We start from the raw sequence: 25211 nt of genomic DNA, 5'->3' as shown, positions 1-25211 counted from the left end.
AATGACAACATCCAGCTTTGGAGTCGATTAGGGACTAAAAAAGAAAGTGCATCTCACTTAGTGGTCCCACATTTCCCCTAGAGGGCAAAGCCTGACCTTGAGACCAGGTGGAATTGTAGGGGAACTTCAGATGGCAGGGACAAAGCCTCATTGGTCTTGTCAGGCAACGAGTAAGCAATCATTGCGTGTTTGTTGAAACAGGTTGAAAAAAATAGTCATTTTCATCAAATGAACTTTAAAACGGAGATGATCTAAATTCAGATGTATTTTTTTAAGTCCTTTAAAGTTTAACTGAAATGCAACATAGAAATTTATTTCTGGCCGGGCGCGGTGGCTCAGGCCTGTAATCCCAGCACTTTGGGAGGCCGAGGCGGGCGGATCACGAGGTCAGGAGATCGAGACCATCCTGGCTAACACGGTGAAACCCCCCTCTCTACTAAAAATACAAAAAATTAGCCGGGCGAGGTGGCGGGCGCCTGTAGTCCCAGCTACTCGGGAGGCTGAGGCAGGAGAATGTCGTGAGCCCGGGAGGCGGAGCTTGCAGTGAGCCGAGATCGCGCCACTGCACTCCAGCCTGGGCGACAGAGTGAGACTCCGTCTCAAAATAAAAAAAAGAAGGAAAGAAATTTATTTCTATTTGTACTAAATCTAATAGAACAAGAGCGTTAAAGTCCAGAAGAGTCGGGGATGGGCAAGTTTTATAAATAACTTGGCCTCCGCATTGAAGAGCCTGCGAGATGTGAGACCAGCTGAGAGCGGAAGCCTCTGGAAGGAGACCTCCTCATCTGGAGGGTGGGGGAGGGAGTGTGCATACTTGAGCCCTTGTCCTTGAAGGGGATTGAGCGAGCCGAGGGGAGGGGTAGGCGGTACTCGGATTTCCAATCACAATGGAGAAACCTAAGAGGCTGCGGTGGTTGTGGGGCCCCGCCCCCTCCTCCCTCCTTGCAGAGCCGGCGCCGGAGGAGACGCACGCAGCTGACTTTGTCTTCTCCGCACGACTGTTACAGAGGTCTCCAGAGCCTTCTCTCTCCTGGTAGGTTTCGGCTCAGGACCCTGAATCCTGGCCCACAGGCAAGCCTGATGGGACGTGCGGGGTAGTACTTGTATGGGGAGACGCGGGAAGGAGGAAGAAGCACATCTGTCCTCCGCGGCCTTTAGCTCTGAGCATCCGGCCGCGGGCCCTGACTTTGCCGCTCAGTTTGGGGCGCAGGGGGGGCCGTGCCCTGGCGGAGGAGCAGAAGGCAGAGGGTAGCAGCTGCGGCTCAGCGGAGAGACTTGTTGCATTTGCAGCTAAAACCAGGCCCTACTTGTCCTTGGTGGGTTCATGGCGGCCACATCACCCCCACGGCCTGCTGGCGGGAGTCGGGACACGTGCCCGAGTAGCTGGGGGAGGGGGACGGAACCAGGTGGCCTATGAAGGCTGGACGATCTTTACCTCGAATATTTGAATATATTGCCACGGTAATAGAGAAATGCCCTTGCACTCGCTGGGATGAGGAGAAAGGCACCTAGATGACCAGCACGTTTGGCGCTGCACTTATTTTTACCCGGCTCTGACGGTCTTTCCAGGAGCCATGCGCCAGTTCTTTCCTGCAGGGCCTCTTTTCTGGATGCTTAGGGGCTTCGTTTACTTTACCAGCCTTGGGTGCTCCGAGTAAGGAAGTCCTAGACTTGTCCCCACAGACCTTACTCGGGGAGATCTCTAGCTTCTGCATGCCCTCGTGATCTGCTGTTCTTTGCTGCCGGTGCCCTGAGGAAAAGATGGTTTGTGCGCACCGCGAGCAGTACAAGCTGCAGTAAGGGCCTGGGGAATGGGGGGAGGGGAGGAATTCAAAAGCAAAACCTGAATTTTTAAAAGATTACGGTGAGAAAGATTCTGCAAAGAAGATCTTTGTTCCTGAAATTAAGGCGCTCCTTTATTTCTAATGATTTATATCCACAGCAGTGAGGAGACATAAGGGACCAAGACTCAGAGATTTTTACCGTTTGTCGTTCTTGTTCCTTACAGCCTGCACTCTGATGTTGGCACAGGCCTGTATATCATGCAGACCATTTTCTTCTCATTTCTTAAAACTCTTTTTAAGGAAAAATTGAAGAAAAGCACTTTCTCCAGAAATATCTGAAAGAAAATCTGGTTCGAGCCTTTAAATTGTACTTCCTGAAGTTTTCTAAATTAAAAGGTCTATCAGAACAACGAATCTGTATTTATATAGCCACTGTTTCTTCATTTTCATTTTCCACTGCTTCCTGGGCCCCCTGTATACCAAAACGGTCGTAAACAGACCATCTAACAACAATAAACTTAAGTGCAGAACAACTATTCATGTGTGTCGTCCTTCAAAAAGAGATGCAGCATTCTTTCTTCTGAGCCTGTTTAAAATGCAGGCCATGTCTGAATTTATTTCATTTTAAGGTCATCTATTTGTGGAGGCACTTGCACAACATTGCATCTTCTCTCTTTAACGTCCACTAGGAAACTGTAAATGTGATCTGTAAAGGCGAAAGAATCTCCTTTTAATTTATCCTTACAGATGGGAGGAAATATTTTTTGGAAAAAAAACTATAAGATAAAATAGTTGTTACACAGTTGTCTCCAAATTCAGATGCTTTATTCCAACTTTGAGTCCTGCTAACTCTTACTTTACGTATACAGTTAATAGACTAGACTTATTGCTTAGTCCATTGCAGATTAGAATTAAAAACTAGACTGGGAAGCTCTGGTACAGTTTGAGACAGGTATGGTGACCTCAGATGCGACATAAAAAGTAAAAAACAAGTGAAAATCATGGACATTACAATGGGCTACTACAATTATAAGTAATAATTGTGAAGAAAAGGCTTATTTGCCATCTGTATTCTCTGTTCAAGAAGACAGGGTGGTATATATTTAGTGTACTATAAATTGCCATGGAATTGATGTTTATTTCGATAAGTTTTGCTCTTTTTTTCAGTTATCTAGAAAACACATCTGGTTATCTGATGGCACAAGTACATTTGGTGTTACTGTACAGATCGTTCATTTTCCAACAGGTTTCGGTTTTGTTTTTTTTTTTACATTTTAGGGGTCTTTAGTTTGGATGGTTAGACAGAAACTGTTTCAGAGACTGATAGTCTCCTAATGTGATCCCCTGAAACGACAATGTATTAAGTGTCTATCTACTTTCCAAGAAGCTTCTTAGGTGCCCTAAAAGGAATTCAGGTTGATATTTTTGCAGACTTTGAATAAAAATTATTCATTGCCATTATATTGTCACTATGTATTAAGTATGCATTCTATGTCCAGTACACTGTAACACATTTTATGTGAGACAGAGTAGAAGAATCAGTCCCTATCTTCCAAGAATGATAACCATTAGTAGTAGAAATTATGTTCATAATTGGCCATTTATTCTTTTTATCCAAGCTTAAGTATGAGTCAATACTAGACCCAAACTTAGTTTACATAGTTACATATACATTCTTAATAGAGGAAACAAACAAATTAGCTAATTTAAACAAATGTTCACAGGTTTTTAGCCAGAAATATTAACAACCTACTAAATACTCACATGGAATCATAGGCTGAAGGAAGAAATCCAATTCTAATGGGCTTCATGAAAGTTTTTACCTTAATGAATTCTTCCATTAAATGGGTCTCATGGTTCTTTTTTTTCTTTTTTTCCTTTTGAGACGGAATCGCTCTGTTGCCAGGCTGGGGTGCAGTGGTGAGATCTAAGCTCACTGCAACCTCCACTTCCTGGGTTCAAGTGATTCTCCTTCCTTAGCCTCCTGAGTAGTTAGGACTACAGGCTTGCACCACCATGCCCAGCTAATTTTCTTTTTTTTAGTAGAGACGGGGTTTCACCATGTTGGCCAGGATGGTCTCAATCTCTTGACCTCGTGATCCACCAGCCTCTGCCTCCCAAAGTGTTGGGATTACAGGCATGAGCCACCATGCCCAGCCGGGTCTCATGGTTCTTTAAAATATATTCTGCTTTCTAGAATATCATTAGGCTCATTTTAAGTTGTACTTCAGTTCGAAATTGCAACAGTAACATTTTAAGGATGATTTCTATTTGGATTTCATATGCAGATATACGTGTAATGTTTTGATTCTTTCCTTGCAGTGCAAAATGGCAACTCTTAAGGAAAAACTCATTGCACCAGTTGCGGAAGAAGAGGCAACAGTTCCAAACAATAAGATCACTGTAGTGGGTGTTGGACAAGTTGGTATGGCGTGTGCTATCAGCATTCTGGGAAAGGTACATTTCAAGAACACCATAGATGATAGAGAAGTTCAGCATGTATACACAGTTTCTTTGGGCACCTTGGAATTTTATTATATCTTTAAAAGATTTCTTTTTTTCCTGAGCAATTTGAAGTTGTAGATGTAATCCCACTTCACTTTCAAATATTTAAGCATGTATCTCCTAAAAGAATTATATTCTCCCTATGTGACCATAAATAGTTACTACACTTAGAGAATTTAACACTGATGCAATACTATCATCCAGTATACACTATTAACATTTAAAATTCTCCATGTTGTCAAAATCATGCCGTTTATAGCTATTTTCACCTCAGTCCAAGATCATGTGTCTCATATACTTACGTCTCTTCATTCTTTAAGCTGGAACTGTTACTCAACCTTTCTTTGTTTCTTGTGTCATTGACATTTTTCTAGCATCCAGGTGAGTTCTGCAGAATGTCCCTCAATTTGTCTGTCTGATGTTTTCTTGTAATTCAGCTCGGGTTGAATTTTTTGGGTGGGATTGGAACTAGGTGATGTCATGTCCTTCTTTGTGCAGACCATCAGGAGACACATGATGTTCAACTTGTCTCATTACTGCTGAACTTAATCCCCTGGTTCAAGTGGTCACAGCAAGCCTTCTCCACTGCAAAGATCCCTTTCCCTCTTTTAATTAATAAGTAATCTGTGCCATGCATGGCTTTGTGAGGTTGTGGGAATATTCTGTTATGCCCCTGAAACTTTTACCTAATGGTTTTATTTTGAAATGATTTCAGATTTACAGAAAATTTTTAAGAATGGCAAGAAAATAAAACTTTCATAAATAATTCACCTACATTTACCAATTCTTAACATGTTGTTATTTATACTCTCTCACCATATATACATACATATATGTGTATATATATATATGTGTATGTTCATAGGTAGATTTATAGATACAGAGATCTATAGAAATACATAGATGTCCATGACGTATTTGTCTATATCTATCTATAGATGGCTGGAACCATTTGAGAATAAATTGCAGATATTATGCCCTTTACTTACATGTCCTTTAGAGCAGCAGTCCCCAACCTTTCTGGCACTAGGGAACCAGTTTTGTGGGAGACAATTTTTCCACAGATGTGTGAGGGGATAGTTTTGGGATGAAATTGTTCCAGTTCAGATCATCAGGCATTGGCTAGATTCTCTAGATTCAGTACTGGCTCGTGACCTGGGTGTTGGGGACCCCTGTTTTAGAGTACGTTTCCTAAGAATAGGACATATTCTGAGATCATCAGTGCAATTATCAACATCAGGAGATTTAACACTAATACCATTCTATTATCACCTTCCACTTCAATTTTTCTTACATACCTCCATAGGCTTTTTGCCTTACCTCATATGTATCCTTTGTAGTTCAAACCACAGTTAAGCTTTCTTTAGTTCTCGAAGACTTGAGGAAAGAAGCCCTTTTCTTATTTATTTCACTGAATGGATTCCTTATTTCTTCTGATGGCTGCCTTAAATGTAGAAACAACAACAAAAATGCTGCCTTGCCTTCAGGAGAACACACTGTCCCTTTGTATCATATGTAAAGGCTGCCTGAATAACCCCTAACCAAGCCATGTCTTTTTTCAAAATTTAAATTCTAAAGCAGCAAACTGAGTCTTTACTAAGAAACAGTTATCAAAAAAATAAACTAAAAAACGTAGTGCACACCCATGAACATTTTATCCTTTTGCATTTGCTTCTAGCTAGTTTCAATTGACTAGGTAACTGTCATTTAGGATAGCAGCTCCCTATCCTTTTGCATTTCCTTCTAGCTAGTTTCAATTGACTAGGTCACTGTCATTTAGGATAGCAGCTCCCTATCCTTTTGCATTTCTTTCTAGCTAGTTTCAATTGACTAGGTAACTATCATTTAGGATAGCAGCTCCCTATCCTTTTGCATTTCCTTCTAGCTAGTTTCAATAGACTAGGTAACTACCATTTAAGATGGCAGCTCCCTAGATTACAGGGAATTGAAGTAACCACAATTTCACGCTCACTGTTCGTGCCAATAAAAACAAAAACTATTTCAGCTTACATCATTTTGAAAAAGACATTGAGTATGTGCCATGTTCAAAGATAAAATACTTTATTTTAAACAACCTTAGGAGATAGGAACTGTTCATATACTTGCTGTTGGATGAGATGGCTGATGCTTAAAGAGCCTGTCCACAGTCTCACATGTGGCAGTGGTGGAGCTGTATTTTGAACCCAGGGCTCTGAACTCTTCACCATAGTGACTTTTCAATTTTCTTTTTATTCAATGCTACTATTTAAGCATTTAGAAAAAAATAAATGTATTAATTAAATACTAGCTAGAGATTTTTCTTACCTTCTGTTAATCTCAAAATTTGAGCCTTTCAGGAAACTATATCTGAGCTATCATGATTCTATAAGAAGTACCTCTATGATGTAATCATAAATTTTAAATCTTCTTCAGTAAGTAGTTTAATTGAGACTGTGCCTGGAGTTATATAACACTTTGGCTCAACTCAAGGGCTTGAGAGAATAGCCCCTGCTGCTACCACAGTTGGACTCTTCAGATTCAGAGACTATGATTTCTGTTTTTCAATCTAGCGTTCTTTTCCCTTTATCTTTTGCAAAATGGAGTACATTTTCTTAGAAATTATGTGGAGACTATCTAATGAATATTTTTGAAAAAATAAATGCAGGAAAGAATGACTGACTTGTTGAAAGATGATTTTACCAATTAAGAATGTCTAAATATTATTTTAACGGTTAAAGATAAAAGTGGTTCCAAATTATGTTAATACATGGTAAAGATTAGAAATCCCACTAGCTTAATAGAGAAAGGAATATAACTGCATGTTGGTGTTTGTATATTACTTCATTTATTCCTTTCTGTAACATGTCAGAGGATATTGTCATCTATATCATATGGCTGAAATCAACAAAAACCAAACACCTAAGATCACACAGATAGTAAGTGCCAGATCTGGCCTTTTTGAGCTCATAGATGGTGTACCTTGCCCCCAGAAGTTAAATAAAAGCATAGCATTGGAGAGGTTGAGGAGGGACATGCATTAGCCAGATTCGCGAAGCCCACTAAGGCCCCTTTGTACAGTGTCCCACCATATGAAGACTTGATTATTTTTGGCTTCTACTTTTGCCCACTCTCTGCAGCCCATTGCTTATATAATAACCATAGAGAGCTTTTGTAAAACTAGTGGCTCCGCTACTTAAAACTCTCCAGTCATTTTACAGTGCACATATGCTACACACATACATAAAATCCCATGAGGCCTCACAAATCCTCCCTGCCTGTTTCTCAGAGCAGAGCAATGGAGCACACAACTGCAGGGGCACCATACACACCAAGGCAGCAGACCTGCCAGTGCAACATGATGGTACCATCTCTGACTTCATCTCTTCTATTTGCTTTCTGCCTCCCAAATGCCAATCTCATTTTTGCTTAAACTCTTTTGCTTGCATTTCCCTTCACCTGGAATGTTCTTCTCTAGGCCACAGGGTTGACCCCTTCTTATCATTCAGATCTTACTGCAAATGCATGCCTTTTCAGGCAGGCCTTCCCTGCCTTCCGATATAAAATAAACTTCCTTCCCAGTAGCTTCAACATCTCCTTGTCTTATGCCCTTCAGAGCACTTCTACCTTCAGAGATTAGCCTGATTTGTTGTTTGTTTAATTCCTATTTCCTTCCTGATATGTTCCATGGCAGCAGAGACTTTATCGTAACTGTATACCTGAGTAGGAGGATAATGCCAGGCACTTACATGATAAATAAATGAATACTCCTGCTATTACTTGTAAGCTTCACTCATGTTTTGTCAAACTTGGTCATGGCTTCTGATTTTTTTACATCTTCTACTACCAGACTTTACTTTTATCCCATTATCCATCTCAGACTCTGCATTTTAACTACCAAGAGGAGGATCTGAATGTCGAACTCATCATGTTGTAAGGGTCATGAAGAGCTTTGAGGCAAGATTATCATAAATCCTTAGCTTCTAAGTCTGTCTTTGGTTTGAGTGTTTATCTTTGCTTCAGTCAACTGTAGCCATGTTCTTGTGGACAAACACAGTATATAACAAAGCTCTTAGGAGGAGCAAGGTAGGTACAACGACAAATTGCAAAGTAGTTTTTGCAGTGCAAGACTGGGCTTAAAAGTAAAACATAATGAAAATTTGGTATTTGTACAAGCCACCTTTGGTATTTCAGCCAGAAACATGCTCAAATAGTATTTAATAATAATGTAGAAGTAGCATTTCAGAGGGGAAGAAACACAAACTATTGAATAGATGGCACATATCCATTTAGTTAATTATTTGAGAAAGGTTATACCTTTTCCTCCCGCAAAATTTTATGCATACTAAACACTTGGAGAGAGAGACGTGTGTGTGTGTGTGTGTGTGTGTGTGTGTGTGTGTGTGTGTGTGTATTTTTTTTCTCTTGAGAGAGAGAGTCTTACTGTCACCCAGGCTGGAGCACAGTGGCAGAATCTTTGCTCACTGCAACCTCTGCCTCTCGGATTCAAGTGATTCTCCTGCCTCAGCCTCCTGAGTAGCTGGGATTACAGGTGCATGCCACCATGCCCGGCTAATTTTTGTATTTTTAGTAGAGACAGGGTTTCACTATGTTGGCCAGGCTGTTCTCAAACTCCTGACCTCAGGTGATCTGCCTGCCTCAGCCCCCCAAAATGCTGGGATTACACGCATGAGCCACCACCCCTGGCCAACACTTGGATATAAAAATGAAACCATCAAATATTAAGGCACTGGTGGTAGTAATTTATTACTTAGGAGGAGGAAGAGGCAGAATATATGGCTGTGTCTGGTCCACACAGGACTTTAGATTAAAAGCCTTTTTTTAAGTCTGTCACAGGAGTAGAGTAAAAATAAATAGGTTTTTTTAAAGCCATTTTAGTGATACATTAAGCAAGCTTTCAACAGTGGTATTCTTGGTATCTAAGTGACCTTGATCCATAATAAGAATACTGCTTTTGCAGTTAATCTAAACCTTGCTGTTTCAAACATTTTAAACATGCTTACAGCTTAAGTGAAATATATATATGGAAAATTCATTGTATAAAATATGTGAATACAGAGGGAGATTTATTTAAGCCAAACAATAGCACCAGTACTTAGTCACACATCACGCCTCTCCATTTGGGGGATATTCAGTGCTGCGGATGCAGCTAAATTCAGTGTTACAATTATTATTATTTAAGTGTTGGATCTCTTCCTTCCTTTTCAGCCGAATATGCACTTCTCAGGCAATTCTCTACACCCACTGAAACAGAGACAGGATCTGACATCCTGTGACATCCTTTTCTACTTAAGCACTAAATTGTTTTGCCCTGTGGATTTCAGCAGCACACATGTGATGTTACTAAAATAAGAGTGATATTCCCAGTGCTCAGTACCTTAATAGAACCATTATAGCTATTATTAAGTTATGTTGCATTAATTTAGGACTTAAAAAATACAAATGAGAATTTTGTGTGTTCTTGTCAGAGATTGCAAAGAACAAAAGCAGCCTTAAAGGTGTCAAAACGTGTTTAAGGAAAAATGGATAAAAATTAACGCCAGTATTTGATACACATGGAAATGAGGAAATGTTTTGTACGTGATCCCCAACTCACAGAATGATCATTTCAAAAATCTGCAAGTAATTTGGTTGCTCAGAGCTAAGGACACATTCAGTCATCGGGAAGCTTCAGTCTTAGAGAAACCCTCACAAGCAAGCCCACTGTAACTCACTTCATGAGACCAGGCAGCCACTTAGATTTTAGCAACAGAGGACAGTGTTTATTCATTGTATTCCAGGGAGGAGACTTGCTTTATCTAACAAGCTGAGTAGGTCAACTTTTCTTATTGACTGTCTCCCAGCTCTTTGCTGCATCTCCGTCTGGTGGCCCCTGCTGCCTGGGCTACTCCACCTTATTCCACCTTATTCTTCAAAGTGCTTCCTGAACTCCAGTTACCTACCTACCTGGCCCCTCCCCCCCATTAATACCCTTCACCTGTGTAGCTGATCACACTACTATTCTTAGAAGAGGTTGACCCTTGAACAACATGGGCTGGTTCACTTACAGGCAGATTTTTTTTTTCAACCAAAAGTATATTGAAAATACAGTATTCAGGGGATGCGAAACCCACATATATGGAGAGTCTTTTGCATCCGGTGAATACTGTCCTTTCTGTATACTTGATTATGCCCAGATTTTGGTACACTCAGAGGTCCTAGAACCAATCCCTTGAGTATCGTATATTGAGGAATGACTGTATTGGCATTTTTAACTGGGCCCCAGTATTGATGTATTCTACTTAGCTGATATTTTTGCTAACAGCCATAAAAACAGTAAGAGCAAGGACTCTGGTGATGTTTCAATAGGAGGGATAACCACTTTATAAACAGTTTATAAATTATGACTTCCATAAGATAATGGAATTTCATAGCTGAAAGGTTGCTTAGATGCATGTAGACCAACCACCTTTTTTTTTTCCTTTCTTTCACTTTTATGTAGATATTGAGAAAATTTAAAAAATTATGATTCCAGGCCCAGCACTGCCTATTCCAGCATTTTGGGAGGCCGGGGCGGGTGGATCAACTGAGGTCAGGATTTCGATACCAGCCTTGGCAACATGGCAAAACCCCATCTCTACTAAAAATACAAAAATTAGCTGGGTGTGGTGGCACGTACCTGTAATCCCAGCTACTCAGGAGGCTGAGGCTGGAAAATCACTTGAACCCGGGAGGTGGAGATTGCAGTGGGCGGAGGCTGCAGTGAGCCGAGATTGCACCACTACACTCCAGCCTCGGCAACGGAGCGAGACTCCGTCTCAAAAAAAAATATGACTCCAGATCAAGATTAAATAGTATATTCATTACTTTAGATTGTATTTTGAATGGGGGACAGAGAATGACAATTGGAATAGAAAACAAAAGAAATCTGAGACTGGGCAAGTCTCAGGCACAGATTTGGAGTGATCACATGAAAAAACCTCCCAATCCTAGATTCCTCTGTCCATAAAACTCATCTTCCTTTCCCCACCAAGACATTTGAGTGGATCAGAGCCACCCTGAAGATTCCAAGCTTCAACCTGGGTTTCAAATCCTACTCTAAAGTAAACTCACACTCCTGGTGATTTAAGCCAAATCTACCATCTCAGAAAGCCTCCAAATTGGGGTGACCTCAAGGATGGACACATTGCCCAAGGTTGTTTCTGGGCCTGAGTGTATTTTTGTTTTCACCATTCCCTCTCCATTAATATAGACTTGTATTCACTAGGCCTACTCTTGAACTAAGCTGGTTTCCTAATGAATCTTTAAGTCTACATGTTCTTAAAGTATAGTTTGTATCATGTGAACTGAATCCTCATTGAGTATCTAACTCCATGGTAAAATTCTCAAGATGTTTAGATCTTTGGTGCTTAGCCATGTTAAAGATCTTTCTTTGGGTTAGATTGTGAGCTGACGCATCCTAGAGTGGCTTAGGGTTCTAATGCCTGTTTTTGCGTTTACAGTCTCTGGCTGATGAACTTGCTCTTGTGGATGTTTTGGAAGATAAGCTTAAAGGAGAAATGATGGATCTGCAGCATGGGAGCTTATTTCTTCAGACACCTAAAATTGTGGCAGATAAAGGTAATTTCACTTAATGCCCAAAGTGATCTAATATTTTTTTCATGGCCCCAAAACACATTTGGAATGCATCTTACAGCATAATAGATTTATTTGTAAGTAGGAAAGGTTGAAGTTTTGGAACAGTTATTTCAATAACTGTTAATAAGATATTTATAATGTAGTTTAGCAAATTCAGATTATTGCAAAATTGTTATATAATTATAAAATGTTTCCCTCTTTTTCCTCATTTTATAAAAAGCTCTTACTTCTCTACTGTATTCTACTTTTTATTTCTCAAATATTTTATATTCACTTATTAATGGACAGCTACCTAAAATGAGTTTGCTAGCCGTAAGTGATCACTGATATGTCACTAACAGGAAATAACAAATTGGATTTATCGCATTGTTTGGCTTATTTTACCACGTTTCTTCTATAGGCCAATTTTCTTTCATCCGTTTCTAGAAACTCATTGCTACTGCTAAAATGTACACATAGCAAATTGACATTTTCCCATTGGAAGTGTATGTAGAAAATGGTTATGTATTCCACACTCCACACTGCCACACTAGTTATCTTTATCCTAAAACAGATGCTTTCCCTAAAATGAAAGTTTGAATGCATTCTTTTCTTTAAAGATTTCTTATCTTTTTATAAACCTTTGTCTGTATTCTAAAACCTCTGGCAGGGCCTGCACAGCTCTCAATTTAGATATAACCTGCATTTCCTCATGGCTCATCATTCTCCTCTCCTCCCTCAGTCTGTTATAAAATTAGTCTTCCCATCCTGGTGAATCTGGTGTTGGCAGTTTCTTTTCATCTGGGTCCAGTTTATCCTTAAGGTTAAACTCAAGTATCACTTACATTAACCCTCTCCCACAGACCTTCTACACATTTGATATGTAACATTTTGGGCTATTGTATTATAATGCCTTGTTTATATGTATCTGAGAACTAGCATGTTTTAGACCCCAAAAGTATTGGTACAATGAAGGGGTGGCCTGCCTCTCCACCCTTGTGGGCATTTCTCGTCGGGTGGAACGAGAGACTGGAGAAAAGAGACACGGAGACAAAGTATAGAGAAAGAAAAAGTGGGCCGAGGGAACCGGCACTCAGCATACGGAGGACCCACGCCGGCACCAGTCTCTGAGTTCCCTTAGTATTTATTGATCATTATCGGGCGTATCTCGGAGAGGGGGATGTGGCTGGACAATAGGGTAATAGTGGAGAGAAGGTCAGCAGGAAAATATGTGAACAAATGTCTCTGCATCATAAACAAGGTAAAGAAAAAAGTGCTGTGCTTTTGATGTGCATATACATAAACATCTCAATGCCTTAAAGGGCAGTATTGCTGCCAGCATGTCCCACCTCCAGCCCTAAGGCAGTGTTCTCCTATCTCAGTAGATGGAATATACAATCGGGTTTTACACTGAGACATTCCATTGCCCAGGGACGAGCAGGAGACAGATGCCTTCCTCTTACCTCAACTGCAAAGAGGCCTTCCTCTTTTACTAATCCTCCTCGGCACAGACCCTTTACCAGTGTCGGGCTGGGGGACAGTCAGGTCTTTCCCTTCCCACAGTCAGGTCTTTCCCTTCCCACGAGGCCATATTTCAGACTATCACGTGGGGAGAAACCTTGGACAATACCTGGCTTTCCTAGGCAGAGGTCCCTGCGGCCTTCCATAGTGTACTGTGTCTCTGGGTACTTGAGATTAGGGAGTGGTGATGACTCTTAACAAGCATGTGCCTTCAAGCATTTGTTTAACAAAGCACATCCTGCACAGCCCTTAATCCATTTAACCCTGAGTTGACACAGCACATGTTTCAGGGAGCGCAGGGGTGGGGGTAGGGTTACAGATTAACAGCATCTCAAGGCAGAAGAATTTTTCTTAGTACAGAACAAAATGGAGTCTCTTAATGTCTACTTCTTTCTACACAGACACAGTAACAGTCTGATCTCTCTTTCTTTTCCCCACAGTACAAAGTAATTTCAATGCCTTGAAGAAACTAAATAATAGCTATTATGTATAAATTTTTAACATTCTGGGTACTGTGTGAAACATTTTGCACATATTATTTCATCTGACTTCATCTTTGCAACAACCTTATGAAATGTAGGGACTATAATTACTGCCATTTTATGGGAGAGGAACCTTACAAAGTATTACCAATCATCAAAAGCCGCACTGTAACCCAGTTTAATTATGTGAATCATCCATAGCTGTTGAGTCAAATGATCACATCAAATCGCAATATCCATATATTTCGAAAAAGGACACACTTCCTTAAGAAAAAAATCAAATCTCCAGGGAAACTTGCAGCGCTAAAAAGCAAATAAGCTTCCTAAAAATATTGAGTATTAGAAATCCAAGTTTTAGTTTCCAGACAAAACCAAACACTTCACTGCCTTCCTTCCCTTCCTAAATTTTAACTTTTTAAGATAAAAGTAACTTAAAATTGGTTTTTGTTTTTGTTTTTTTTTTTTTTTTTTTTTGATGTCTACCTATTGGAGTCACTGTTTACACTTCATTTTATTCCTGACAATTCATTGAATTCATAGCCAAAAACATACTTTCGGGTCATCTTTATTTTCTGAGGCAGTTTGATGTTTGGATTATTGCAGTGTAGCTCAAGGGAGAAAAAAGAAGCCACAGGAACATTAAACTTCAAGCCCTTACAATACAGAAAACTTAATTCACATATATGTTCTAGAAGCTTATGTATGGTTAGGCTTTTAGAGCATGTCATATAGGTTATGTTATAATGAAGAGTTGCATTTAAAGTACCTGTTTTTGCTTTTCTTTTTAAAGATTATTCTGTGACTGCCAATTCTAAGATTGTAGTGGTAACTGCAGGAGTCCGTCAGCAAGAAGGGGAGAGTCGGCTCAATCTGGTGCAGAGAAATGTTAATGTCTTCAAATTCATTATTCCTCAGATCGTCAAGTACAGTCCTGATTGCATCATAATTGTGGTTTCCAACCCAGGTATTATTGTATACTTTAAGTCTCTGTTCTGTTAAGTTCAGTGTTTTGGTGTTTCTGTTGTTATTGTTTTGGACTAAAATCAGTCCCAGTATTCATTTACAGAAGCAGTTTACATGTCTTCTTTCATTGGCCCTAAATAGTGGTGTTTGCAAAACAAATGCCTCTGTCCCAGGCCAGATGTTCAAAAAATGTGACAAGAGTTTTAGCTAAAGCAATTTCATGTTTTTGCTTCATCTGGCTTGGTTATAGATTCTGAAGGCTTTTAAAACTTTTTTATAAAGATTATCCTGGGATGGAGAATGAAGCATTCGAACATAGTTTCAATTTGTAAGAAACATTTTGACATATTTGACCTTTTATTTTCTGGAAAATCCCATTATACAGAATTGAAACAGATCAACTTTGAAAAGAAGCATATAAGAAAGCCATTAAACAATTCTGTTTTAAAGATAGAAATAGACTGAATTGATGGACAAATATATGCTAACACCAAATGCTCTGACTTAAAAATTGCTTTCCTTGCTAACTTGACATCTACAGGATGAACATTAAACCTTCTGACTAGAAAGAATGCACTTTTTTAGCCTTAACAGCTAAAATATGCTCTATTTGATATACTGCTTTTATCTATAGTTTGCCACCAAAATTACTGCATGTTGGTGAGCATAGCAGGTACATTGAGAAAATAGTAAAGAAACTGGACTGATTATCTCTCACACTTCCCATAGAGAAACACTGTGAATAAGAGCTAGGGGAATCCCCACAGTATCTTGAGTATTGAGAGTTGAGAGCCAGCAAGGACAGAGGTTATTTCCATATTTTTACTTCTGCAAACCAAGATTGGAGTTTATTAAATGGTTCAGTCTTATATATAAAACTTCTCATAAATATATATGTGCCAGGTAGATGTAGAATAGGAATGACAAGTAGCTAGCACATAGTAAGTTACTGCATCCTGTGCCTCAGGCAGGCGTCACTAAATGATTATGCAACTTTCTACATATAGCTTCACAGCTGGATTTTCCAGGGAGTCACTTCCATGGAATCAAAGTTGGCAAGGAAAAGTTATCCAGTCCCAAATGTCCTTGAATTATCTTAGCCATTGTCTACAGATTAGTGTGGGGGTGGAGGCTGCAGGATTAACTTTCAGCTCTTCACCTTCCTTGTGTGCACATTTTTTACTTTTTACAGCTTAGCCTGCAAGTGCTGTGATCCTATCTGGATCAGCAAAAGTTTTATGTCTGTGGTTTTAAGGCTATGCCACGCTGGAGCAAAGGTTCTGACATAGATGTTCTTTTATTAAATAGAAATTTTTAATACTACGTATTATCACAGTTGTTTACTGAAGAATACCTCATGCCCAGAAAAATTTGTGGTAGCAAGATTTGGTAGTTTAGTAATCAAAGGCTTCTTGGTTTATGATGACAATCATTATAATTATGGAATGTTACAACTGGGGGAAACTTAACTGACAACCTGGTTCAACCTGTTTTGTTTTTTTCAACTTTAAGTTAATTAATCTGCAAGGTTCTTAAATATTCTTGTTTCACATAATAATGCAAATGTAAAAGCACAGTATTGCATTTTTCATGTCTTGCAATCTTCATATAAGGCTTAAAAGTTTGTTTTTGTCACTGTCATTCCTGGTATCTCTAACAATGAAAAGTTAAAGTATTTACTTTAATCTTTCTGGCCACATCTCATTTGGGGAGTGGGGAAGTGGGAAAAGGGAAGCCAGGGCACCCCAAGCTGCCTAACAGTTGAAGTTGGTTTTGGTTTACTTACATATATTATTTCCAAAATTTTTAGTGGACATTCTTACGTATGTTACCTGGAAACTAAGTGGATTACCCAAACACCGCGTGATTGGAAGTGGATGTAATCTGGATTCTGCTAGATTTCGCTACCTTATGGCTGAAAAACTTGGCATTCATCCCAGCAGCTGCCATGGATGGATTTTGGGGGAACATGGCGACTCAAGTGGTAAAGAAAAAAAAAAGAAATAATTACTTGTGATGTTGGTTTTGCCATTTTGAATTTTTCATTTTATTTCAAATTTTATTTTTATAGACTTTGATGTACTTAAGAACAGTTGCAAAAATAGTAGTTACTTTTCTATTCTATTCCATTTTGCTTTATCATTTACTCTCTCATCTCTCTATCTACCTATCATCTATCTTTACCTTGATCAATTAAGCATAAATCAATTCCCTCACCTTTTTCTCCTTAAGTTCTTTACTGTGTATTTCCTCAAAACAAAGATTTTCTTTTTCATAACCACAGTACACTTCCCAAAATCAGGAAATGTAACCCTGAAACAATATTATCTAATCCAGAGTCCATTATTCACAAGTTATCAACTGTCTCAATAGTGTCCTCTAAAGCTTTTTTCCTAATTCAGAATCCATTCTAGGCTCACACATTACATCTACTATATATCCTTAGCCTCCTTCATTCTGGAACAGTTTCTCAGTCTATCTCTGTTTCTCATGATCTTGACATTTTTGAAAAGTCAGGTGAGTTATTTTGTGGAATGCCCATCATTTTAGACTTGTCTGATTGTTTCTTTATCATTAGGTTGAGCTATGAACTTTTGGTGCAAATACCACAGAAATGACCCTATAGTTTTCTCATGGCATCACATCCAAAGGCATGTAATGTCAGTGTGGCCAACAATTGGTGACACTAACTGTGATAACTCAGTTAAGGTTGTATTTTGCCAGGTTACTCTGTGTGAAGTTACTGCTTTTCCTTTGTAATTTATGAGTAATTTGTGGGAAGATGTTTTGATGCTGACTAGGAAAATGTCTGACTCCTCATCAATTTTTCTCTGCTAAATTTAGCATCTATTAATGATTTGTGGTTGAATAAATTACCATGATAGTTGTCAAACATGATCTACTAATTCCATCATTTATTCTGTATTAGTTGCATTCCACTGTAAGACAGAAATTTTTCATCTTCCCTCTTTATTTATTTGTTGATATCAATGTGGCCTCGGATTTTTATCTCATGCCCAAAATATTGTGTCACTATCATTTGTAATGCTCAAGTTGTCCCAGGCTTTTCAAACTGACTCTTACGTCTTTTTTTTTTTAACATGTCCCATCATTTTTGAGCACTGTCTTGCACAATAAATTGCACCAGCCTCATTTTGAACTTTCCCCTTCCCAGCACTAGAATCAGCTGTTTCCCTAATGAGCCCTGTTTCCTTTTAGTGAGGAATGGTAGTTAGAAACCAGGATCAGGGCATAGGTGTGCTTGTGCTACTGGTATATCTTTGCTTCTAGGCCCTTTGAGTAGACAGAGCTATTACATCCATTGTATTTGCTGAAGGAGGAATGAGTTAGGTAACAAAAGCTTATAAATAACTTGTATCTACTCTTCTATAATGTAAAATAAACCTTACCTCAAATGAAATCTTATTTTTAATAAACTATTAATTATAACTATCAATTATTTAAGTAGTAAGAGACTGTATGATAAAACTAAATAGTTTCTTTAGGAACTTAAATTGAAGTAAAGAATTGTACATAAATTAGTAATTCAAAAAGAGCAACATTAAAATCACATTACACTTTTTTTTAGTGCTTCGTGTTCAGACAATTTAAAACTATATTATAAATGTTTTATTTTAAATTAATATTTTTCTCATTTAAATTAATTATTCTTTGAACAATTTTATGTAAAACTGTTTTTGAACAATTTTGATTCTGTTTCATAGATCTAAATCTGTTTATTAAACCACAATATATTGAATAAGCTCATGGCAAAAAAAAATAATAAAATAATCCAATATTGAAACTAATAATTTAAAATATTTTATTAATAATAATGATGATAAATAATATTTTTATTTTACTAAATTCATTTCTGCCACCTGTGTAAAGGACTATTTTCTCCCAATAAGCTCAGAGTATAAATCTTCCTTTGAATTCAGTGGGAGTTTGAAATGCAATTTTAGTAAAGGGTTTATCTTGGTGCTATAAGAATTTGTTCTTGAAGTTGTAGCATAATTTATTTCTGATTTTTTATATAAGAATGCTGACTTTTTTCTGACACATATCACTTTATTCAAGAATTGTTTACCTCCAGGGACTCATCTGAATTTTTGTCTGGTTAATTGTAATGGTCCTATGTGTCTCTCTTGATCAGATTAATTTGAGCATGGAAAGTTTTTAGCAAGTCAACTCCATAACTTTAAGCTTGGCTCTCCCTTCTTAACAAGATAATGTGACTAGCAAGTTCTTAACTTCTCTGAACCTGTTTCCTCATCTATAAAATAAAGATAATTATGCCACCTATGTACTATGTAAAAAGTACTTAGTACAATGTCAGGTGTACAGTAAAAGTTCAGTAAATGCTAGGTGTAGTTATACATTGCTAGGTGATAGAAGTGATATTACATGTCCTCTAGTTCAGGACTTTAATTTTAGTGAGAAAAAGTGATATTACATGTCCTCTAGTTCAGGACTTTAATTTTAGTGAGAAAAAAAATAAGGCAAAGTAGGTGAAGTAGCTATTGAAGAACTTTTAGTTAGTTAATGCCATAGCTACCACTAGAATTATGTCTTCTGATTCCCGTCCAATGTTCTATTACATTATGGCTGTTATTTTTCCCAGAACATCTTTTTAAAATTTTTCATGTTGATCTATATTGTGTACGTAAAATGAAAGAGAATTAAACCATGCTCACTAGACATGATTATGCAGATTTCATAATTTTCATCAAAATTGTAAAAATATCCAATTACCCTAACTTGCCAGAAGTTGTGGACTAATAGGGGATCTTATTTGGCTTTAAATAGCTTTTCCCTTCATATCTGTTTCAGTCATAGTAGATTCTACCCCACACTTTTGCTCCTATTTCCAGAGTCTACAATGTACTCCTCCAAAGGTCTCCAAGAAACATATAACTTAGGTTTTAAGGTCCAATTCAAAGGCCCATTTTGTGTAGTTCTTTCTGATACTCTTCTCCTTTAAATTAAGTAGACCCTTATTTATAATTTTTACCCCACTTTCATAATTATGCTTTATTTGGGTCTTATTCTAGGATTTTTTTTCTTTACTGTAGAATAAAGGAGCATATATTAGAAAAATATGGAGGAGAAAAGTTAAACATTCCTCAAACCAAAAGTTTAGCATAGTCCCCAACTAGAATCCCTGTGATTTCACACACCTAGAGAGAAGCAAAGAATTTTATTTTCTCTGTAACTATGACACAGCAATTCTGCTTTGCACTAAAATTCTTGAAAGTTAAAAGGTCAGACATGTTGCTATTTGAAGGCAAACGTCAGCCTTTTTGGGGAACTATACTGGAATCTACTGGAGAGTCACTTATTGGAGCAGTTCCAGTTGGTATTCAGTAATTTGCATCATAGGTGAAATTGCACTAAAAGAAGAAAATATTTTTTAAAATAATGTAAGAAATAACTGCAATGTCTTTTTTTTTTTTTTTAAACAGTGGCTGTGTGGAGTGGTGTGAATGTGGCAGGTGTTTCTCTCCAGGAATTGAATCCAGAAATGGGAACTGACAATGATAGTGAAAATTGGAAGGAAGTGCATAAGATGGTGGTTGAAAGGTAAGTGAAAGGGAACTTGATTTTAGATGATTAATTTCAACTCTACTTAAATAAAATTATAAACATTTTCCATGGCTGTCTGCTCAGATAAACTCTTAATGTAGTAATTATGCAGCTGTTATCTTTTGAAACTGATAAGACTTTTACACTGGTCAAACTTGCTATGCCAGTCTCCCTAGGGAAAGTAAATATTTTCTCTAGAGAAACTCTATTGTAGAGGTAACAGGAGCAAAATGTGGAATTAACAAGTGAGAAGAGTCTTCAAATTGCCACCTCTCAACAAATAAGGTTGATTTATTTAGAAAAGTAAACTTAGAAACTATTGGTTTCATAATTGCCCCAAATAAATAAACTTGCTTGCTGATTGCTAACAGTGTTTAAGTTTTAATAACAGGACTAACTGATGTCTCAAATATAGAATCATTTTGTTCAATTTTAGTAATTTTTTTTTCAGGAATTTGAACTATATGTGGAGAAAAGGAACCTTAAAAAAGTTGAAAGAGTCTTTATAATTTCAATTAACATATACCTTTATTTTACAAGTGAGAAAACTATGGCTCACCCAGATAGTGTAACTGGTCCAAGGTCTTCTAATGATTGGGTGTCAATTGCATTAAATCCTAATTTTCCAATACTCAGCTAGAGTTATTCCTGCTGCTTCTCAAGTGCCAGGGCCTTTATGGGTTTTAAGAGCTACAATTTGTGCTGAAAAAACTGTCAGGCAAGATACTCTTATCCCTTTTATTAGTTAGTTGATTATGTTAGGTGACAGTGGCAAGTGGGACCTCACAATTGAGATATATTTTGTTCTTTCACTTTTATTGTTTCCTGATTTTATGTGTTTGGAAATATGTTTACAGATTTGTTACAATGATTGGAAAATGTATATTTTTGCCACAGTGACTTTATAAATCTTAACTTATACAATAAACTAAAGTTATCAAGCATTTATATAGTGTTTACTGTGTAGTGCTTACAGTTTTAAGCATTTTACATATATATTAATTCATTTAACACTCAAAAAGGGAACACTAAGGCAATAAAGGGTAAATAATTTGCCCAAGATTATAGTTAGAGACAGAGCAGTAGTCAAAGTCAGGTCTGGTTTCAATAATGATTGAGTCTTATTTCAGTGATGTCTTTTATAATTTTTTTAAGTGCCTATGAAGTCATCAAGCTAAAAGGATATACCAACTGGGCTATTGGATTAAGTGTGGCTGATCTTATTGAATCCATGTTGAAAAATCTATCCAGGATTCATCCCGTGTCAACAATGGTAAAGGTAAGACAAACTACCACAAAATGTAATATGATTTCTCGCATTGTATTCTACAAAAAGATTCATTTAAAGAGGCTCAGACCAGATAAAATCATAGTTCAAGGTTATTTCTGTCTCTCAAAGTTTTATGTAAACTATTCTCATTTTCCAACAGAAGTCTTGGACAGCAAGGGCAGAAAACTTAGAGAATCTAAGACATTCAATAGATTGTTGTCATTCTTTATATAATTTTGCAAATTAAATATTAACTCTGAATCTTAGCACATTCTTAAAGTATTGATCATTTGAATAAGTGTAATAGAGTTTCATTTAAAGTTGATGTACTAAACTCTAGATTGCCTTTCATATAGCACTTGATACCTTAGCAAATACAGTTTAATTCAAAAGCTATGGAGCAAATGCACAAAACAGGTAGAAATTAATGATTTTTTAAACAAAACTAAAATTATATTAAAATATTTTGTAAGACAACTGACTCATTTTCCACAAGTCAGTGTAAATCAAGTGTGTCAATAATTGGGTAATTACTGAGTCTTTGGGTACATACATAGGAATTTGTTTATTCTATCTACTTTTGTGTATGTACAAAATTTTTGAAATTAAAAGTTTAAAAACTGACATTAAGGTATGTTTAATATAATTAGTTATATAGTTAAATTGACCCTGTGAATAAATTACCCACACGAACTGGTAAAGTGTTTTGGAAATTGTATTTTTTTTTTTTTTTTTAGCAATTCTTGGGTATTCCAAGCATCTTGCCTTTTAATGGTCTCTAACTATTACCCAGGACCTCATAAGTTGGCTACCACCTGAAATTTCTTCCTAACTAAAAGTCTTTAAGCAACTTAAAATTTCATAGAAAGTAATCCATTAAGAACCACAATTAAAAGCAATTTAATTTGAAGACTCATATATCAAAATTTATTAAAGTGTATTTAAATAGAGCAGTGTTCAATAAAATACGTATATAATAAAATTAAATAAGTACTTGTTACTTACAAATATCTAATTTTCTCATAGTGTATGTTTGCATATTCTATGTATAAAACCTAATTCAAAACATAAGTATTGGGGAAATGTGGACCTGTAAGTGATGAAAATTAGATTAGGGAATGAGTTCAGGCCTATCAAGTTTTCTACAATTCTTTCTGTTGGAACATCGGACCTTTGATTATTCTCTTTTTTCCCCCCTTTAGAGATTAGTTCTTGCTCTGTCACCCAGGCTGGAGAGTAGTACCGCTGTCATAGCTCACTGAAGCTTCAAACTCCTGGGCTCAAACAGTCCTCCCACCTCAGCCTCCTGTCTTTGATCATTTTTACTTACAGTTTCATGTCTTAATCTCGATGCTTTGTTGTTCTGGCAGGGGATGTATGGCATTGAGAATGAAGTCTTCCTGAGCCTTCCATGTATCCTCAATGCCCGGGGATTAACCAGCGTTATCAACCAGAAGCTAAAGGATGATGAGGTTGCTCAGCTCAAGAAAAGTGCAGATACCCTGTGGGACATCCAGAAGGACCTAAAAGACCTGTGACTAGTGAGCTCTAGGCTGTAGAAATTTAAAAACTACAATGTGATTAACTCGAGCCTTTAGTTTTCATCCATGTACATGGATCACAGTTTGCTTTGATCTTCTTCAATATGTGAATTTGGGCTCACAGAATCAAAGCCTATGCTTGGTTTAATGCTTGCAATCTGAGCTCTTGAACAAATAAAATTAACTATTGTAGTGTGCTTCTGTTTCTGGGATTCCTTCCTTAATGATTCCTGAAAGATTTCAGTCAGTCTGCCAAGTCATTCTTACCACACGTCATAAATGTCCCTAAATTCCAACATCATCTACACTCCTCCCTCTGGATGAGACAAAAATTCTTTTTTGCAACAGGTGCCACGGTTTGTTGTTGTTGTCCTGAGAATATGATTATCTTTTTAAGGTTATAACTGAAGAAGTTGTAACGGATGTCAATGTATATGACATTTACAAAGGAAGCCCGTTTTAAAAGGAAGAACCCCTAAAATGGAAACTTTGTTAGAATTCTATTTAATAATGAAGGAAAATGAAAGTTTGGTCTGGATTATTCAGATTGAGTCTACTTGGAGATAGCATAACATGTGAATTTACAGGGAAACTTAGGTAGACTTCCTTTAACAAAGAGTTCCAAATTTACATGTCATATGTAGGGGTCAATTTAGGTAGTGTTTAAAACATGAGTTTTGGTGTCATATAAACCTGGACTTGAGTGCTGGCCTTATCGTTGATTAACTGTGATCTTAGTCAAGTTAACTACTTAATCACTCCTAATTCTCATTTTCCTCACCTATAAAACAGTGATGATAACAACACCTCTTCAATATGGGTTGTTTAAATGAGAAAATTATGTAAAACTCTTAGCACATAGCTTGGTCATCATGGTAGCTAACATTTAAGTAGTGCTTACTGTTCCAAGTGCTTCATAGATGTTAACTTAGCTAAATCATCCCAACTATCCTATAAGGTAGTGTTTCTTCACCTCAACACTATTGACCTTTTGGGTTGAATGTTTCTATGTAGTGGGGGCTGAACTGCGCATTGTAGGCTGTTTAGCAGCATCTACCCAACCAATGCCAGTCACACACCGCTGCCGACAAGGTGTAGCCAAACATGTCTGCAGACCTTGCCAAATATCCCCTGGGAAGGGGTGAGGAGAATCACCCTTGATTGAGAACCACTGCTCTAAAGTATGTATCCTCATTTTACAGATGAGGAAACTGAGACATAAAGAGGCACACAGGTAATAGCCACCAAATAACAGAATCAGGATTCAACCTAGGCAATTAGCTTTAAAATCCTTTCTCTTTGCTGGGCGCAGTGGCTCATGCCTGTAATCCCAGCACTTTGGGAGGCAGAGGTGGGTGGATCAAGAGGTCAAGAGATCGAGACCATCCTGGCCAACATGTGAAACCCCATCTCTAATAGAATTACAAAAATGAGCTGGGCGTGGGGGCATGCCCCTGTAGTCCCAGCTACTCGGGAGGCTAAGGAGAATCTCTCGAACCCAGGAGACAAAGGTTGCAGTGAGCTGAGATTGCACCATTGCACTCCAGCCTGGCAACAGAGCGAGACCCCGTCTTGGGGGGAAAAAAATCCTTTCTCTTAAGCACAGTGTACTATAATGCAGAAAAACTTACTGTCAAATTTTTGTATCTTCTTAGAATAATATTGAAATTTTTTAATGCTCCAGCATATTATGAGGGTGCTATTATTTCTATATTACAGAATGGGAGATGGATACAGTTATTAAATTCCTTTTTTATATCATATTTCCAAAGTTACTGTCTAGATGTAAGGAGGAGGGTTAATTTAATATATGCTTCTATTTCATTGTTTCAGTTTCTACGTGAATGTTGAATTTGCAATAAGCCAATAGTTTCCAACCTTGAATTTCATGGATCAGTTTAGAATTATTTAAACTGTTTAAAAGGGGGAATAGACGTGTGTAGGTTAAGAAGCACAAACACAACTT

General features: G+C 37.6%; 1 protein-coding gene across 7 annotated transcripts, besides 5 other annotated features; it reads left to right on the top strand.

Moving 5' to 3' along the window:
- Positions 461-640: an enhancer, noted in NCBI's record as "active region_6095". NCBI's record gives its function as "activates an Ori minimal core promoter by ATAC-STARR-seq in GM12878 lymphoblastoid cells {active_cell/tissue: GM12878}" and the evidence as "EXISTENCE:reporter gene assay evidence [ECO:0000049][PMID:35858748]".
- Positions 461-1043: a biological region, named in NCBI's record as "NANOG-H3K27ac-H3K4me1 hESC enhancer GRCh37_chr12:21810675-21811203".
- Positions 515-1043: an enhancer, noted in NCBI's record as "NANOG-H3K27ac-H3K4me1 hESC enhancer chr12:21810675-21811203 (GRCh37/hg19 assembly coordinates)". NCBI's record gives its function as "activates a minimal SCP1, AML or CMV promoter by ChIP-STARR-seq in primed H9 embryonic stem cells {active_cell/tissue: H9 hESC(primed)}" and the evidence as "EXISTENCE:reporter gene assay evidence [ECO:0000049][PMID:30033119]".
- LDHB (lactate dehydrogenase B) lies at positions 942-23442 on the top strand. 7 transcript variants are annotated; one of them, NM_002300.8, is made up of 8 exons: positions 942-1033; positions 4107-4241; positions 11768-11885; positions 14676-14849; positions 16659-16832; positions 20314-20431; positions 21590-21713; positions 23075-23442. In NM_002300.8, the coding sequence occupies exons 2-8, from the start codon at positions 4113-4115 to the stop codon at positions 23240-23242; spliced, it is 1005 nt and encodes a 334-aa protein (NP_002291.1). In that variant the 5' UTR covers positions 942-1033; positions 4107-4112; the 3' UTR covers positions 23243-23442. The 7 variants fall into 6 exon arrangements, with proteins under 7 accessions (NP_002291.1, NP_001302466.1, NP_001167568.1 ...); NM_001174097.3 differs by having other exon boundaries at positions 942-1316; NM_001414234.1 differs by lacking the exon at positions 4107-4241.
- Positions 1021-1270: an enhancer, noted in NCBI's record as "active region_6094". NCBI's record gives its function as "activates an Ori minimal core promoter by ATAC-STARR-seq in GM12878 lymphoblastoid cells {active_cell/tissue: GM12878}" and the evidence as "EXISTENCE:reporter gene assay evidence [ECO:0000049][PMID:35858748]".
- Positions 1301-1390: an enhancer, noted in NCBI's record as "active region_6093". NCBI's record gives its function as "activates an Ori minimal core promoter by ATAC-STARR-seq in GM12878 lymphoblastoid cells {active_cell/tissue: GM12878}" and the evidence as "EXISTENCE:reporter gene assay evidence [ECO:0000049][PMID:35858748]".

The sequence above is a fragment of the Homo sapiens genome, chromosome 12, assembly GCF_000001405.40.
Source record: "Homo sapiens chromosome 12, GRCh38.p14 Primary Assembly".
Taxonomy (NCBI): Eukaryota; Metazoa; Chordata; class Mammalia; order Primates; family Hominidae; genus Homo; species Homo sapiens.
This window is presented reverse-complemented; position numbering and strand designations above follow the sequence as displayed.

Coding starts and splice junctions, on each gene's coding strand:
- LDHB (XM_006719074.3), top strand. CDS start 4,113: ATGGCAACTCTTAAGGAAAAACTCATTGCACCAGTTGCGGAAGAAGAG. Junction 4,242..11,767: donor CTATCAGCATTCTGGGAAAG/GTACATTTCAAG, acceptor TTGCGTTTACAG/TCTCTGGCTGATGAACTTGC. Junction 16,833..20,313: donor GGAACATGGCGACTCAAGTG/GTAAAGAAAAAA, acceptor TTTTTTAAACAG/TGGCTGTGTGGAGTGGTGTG.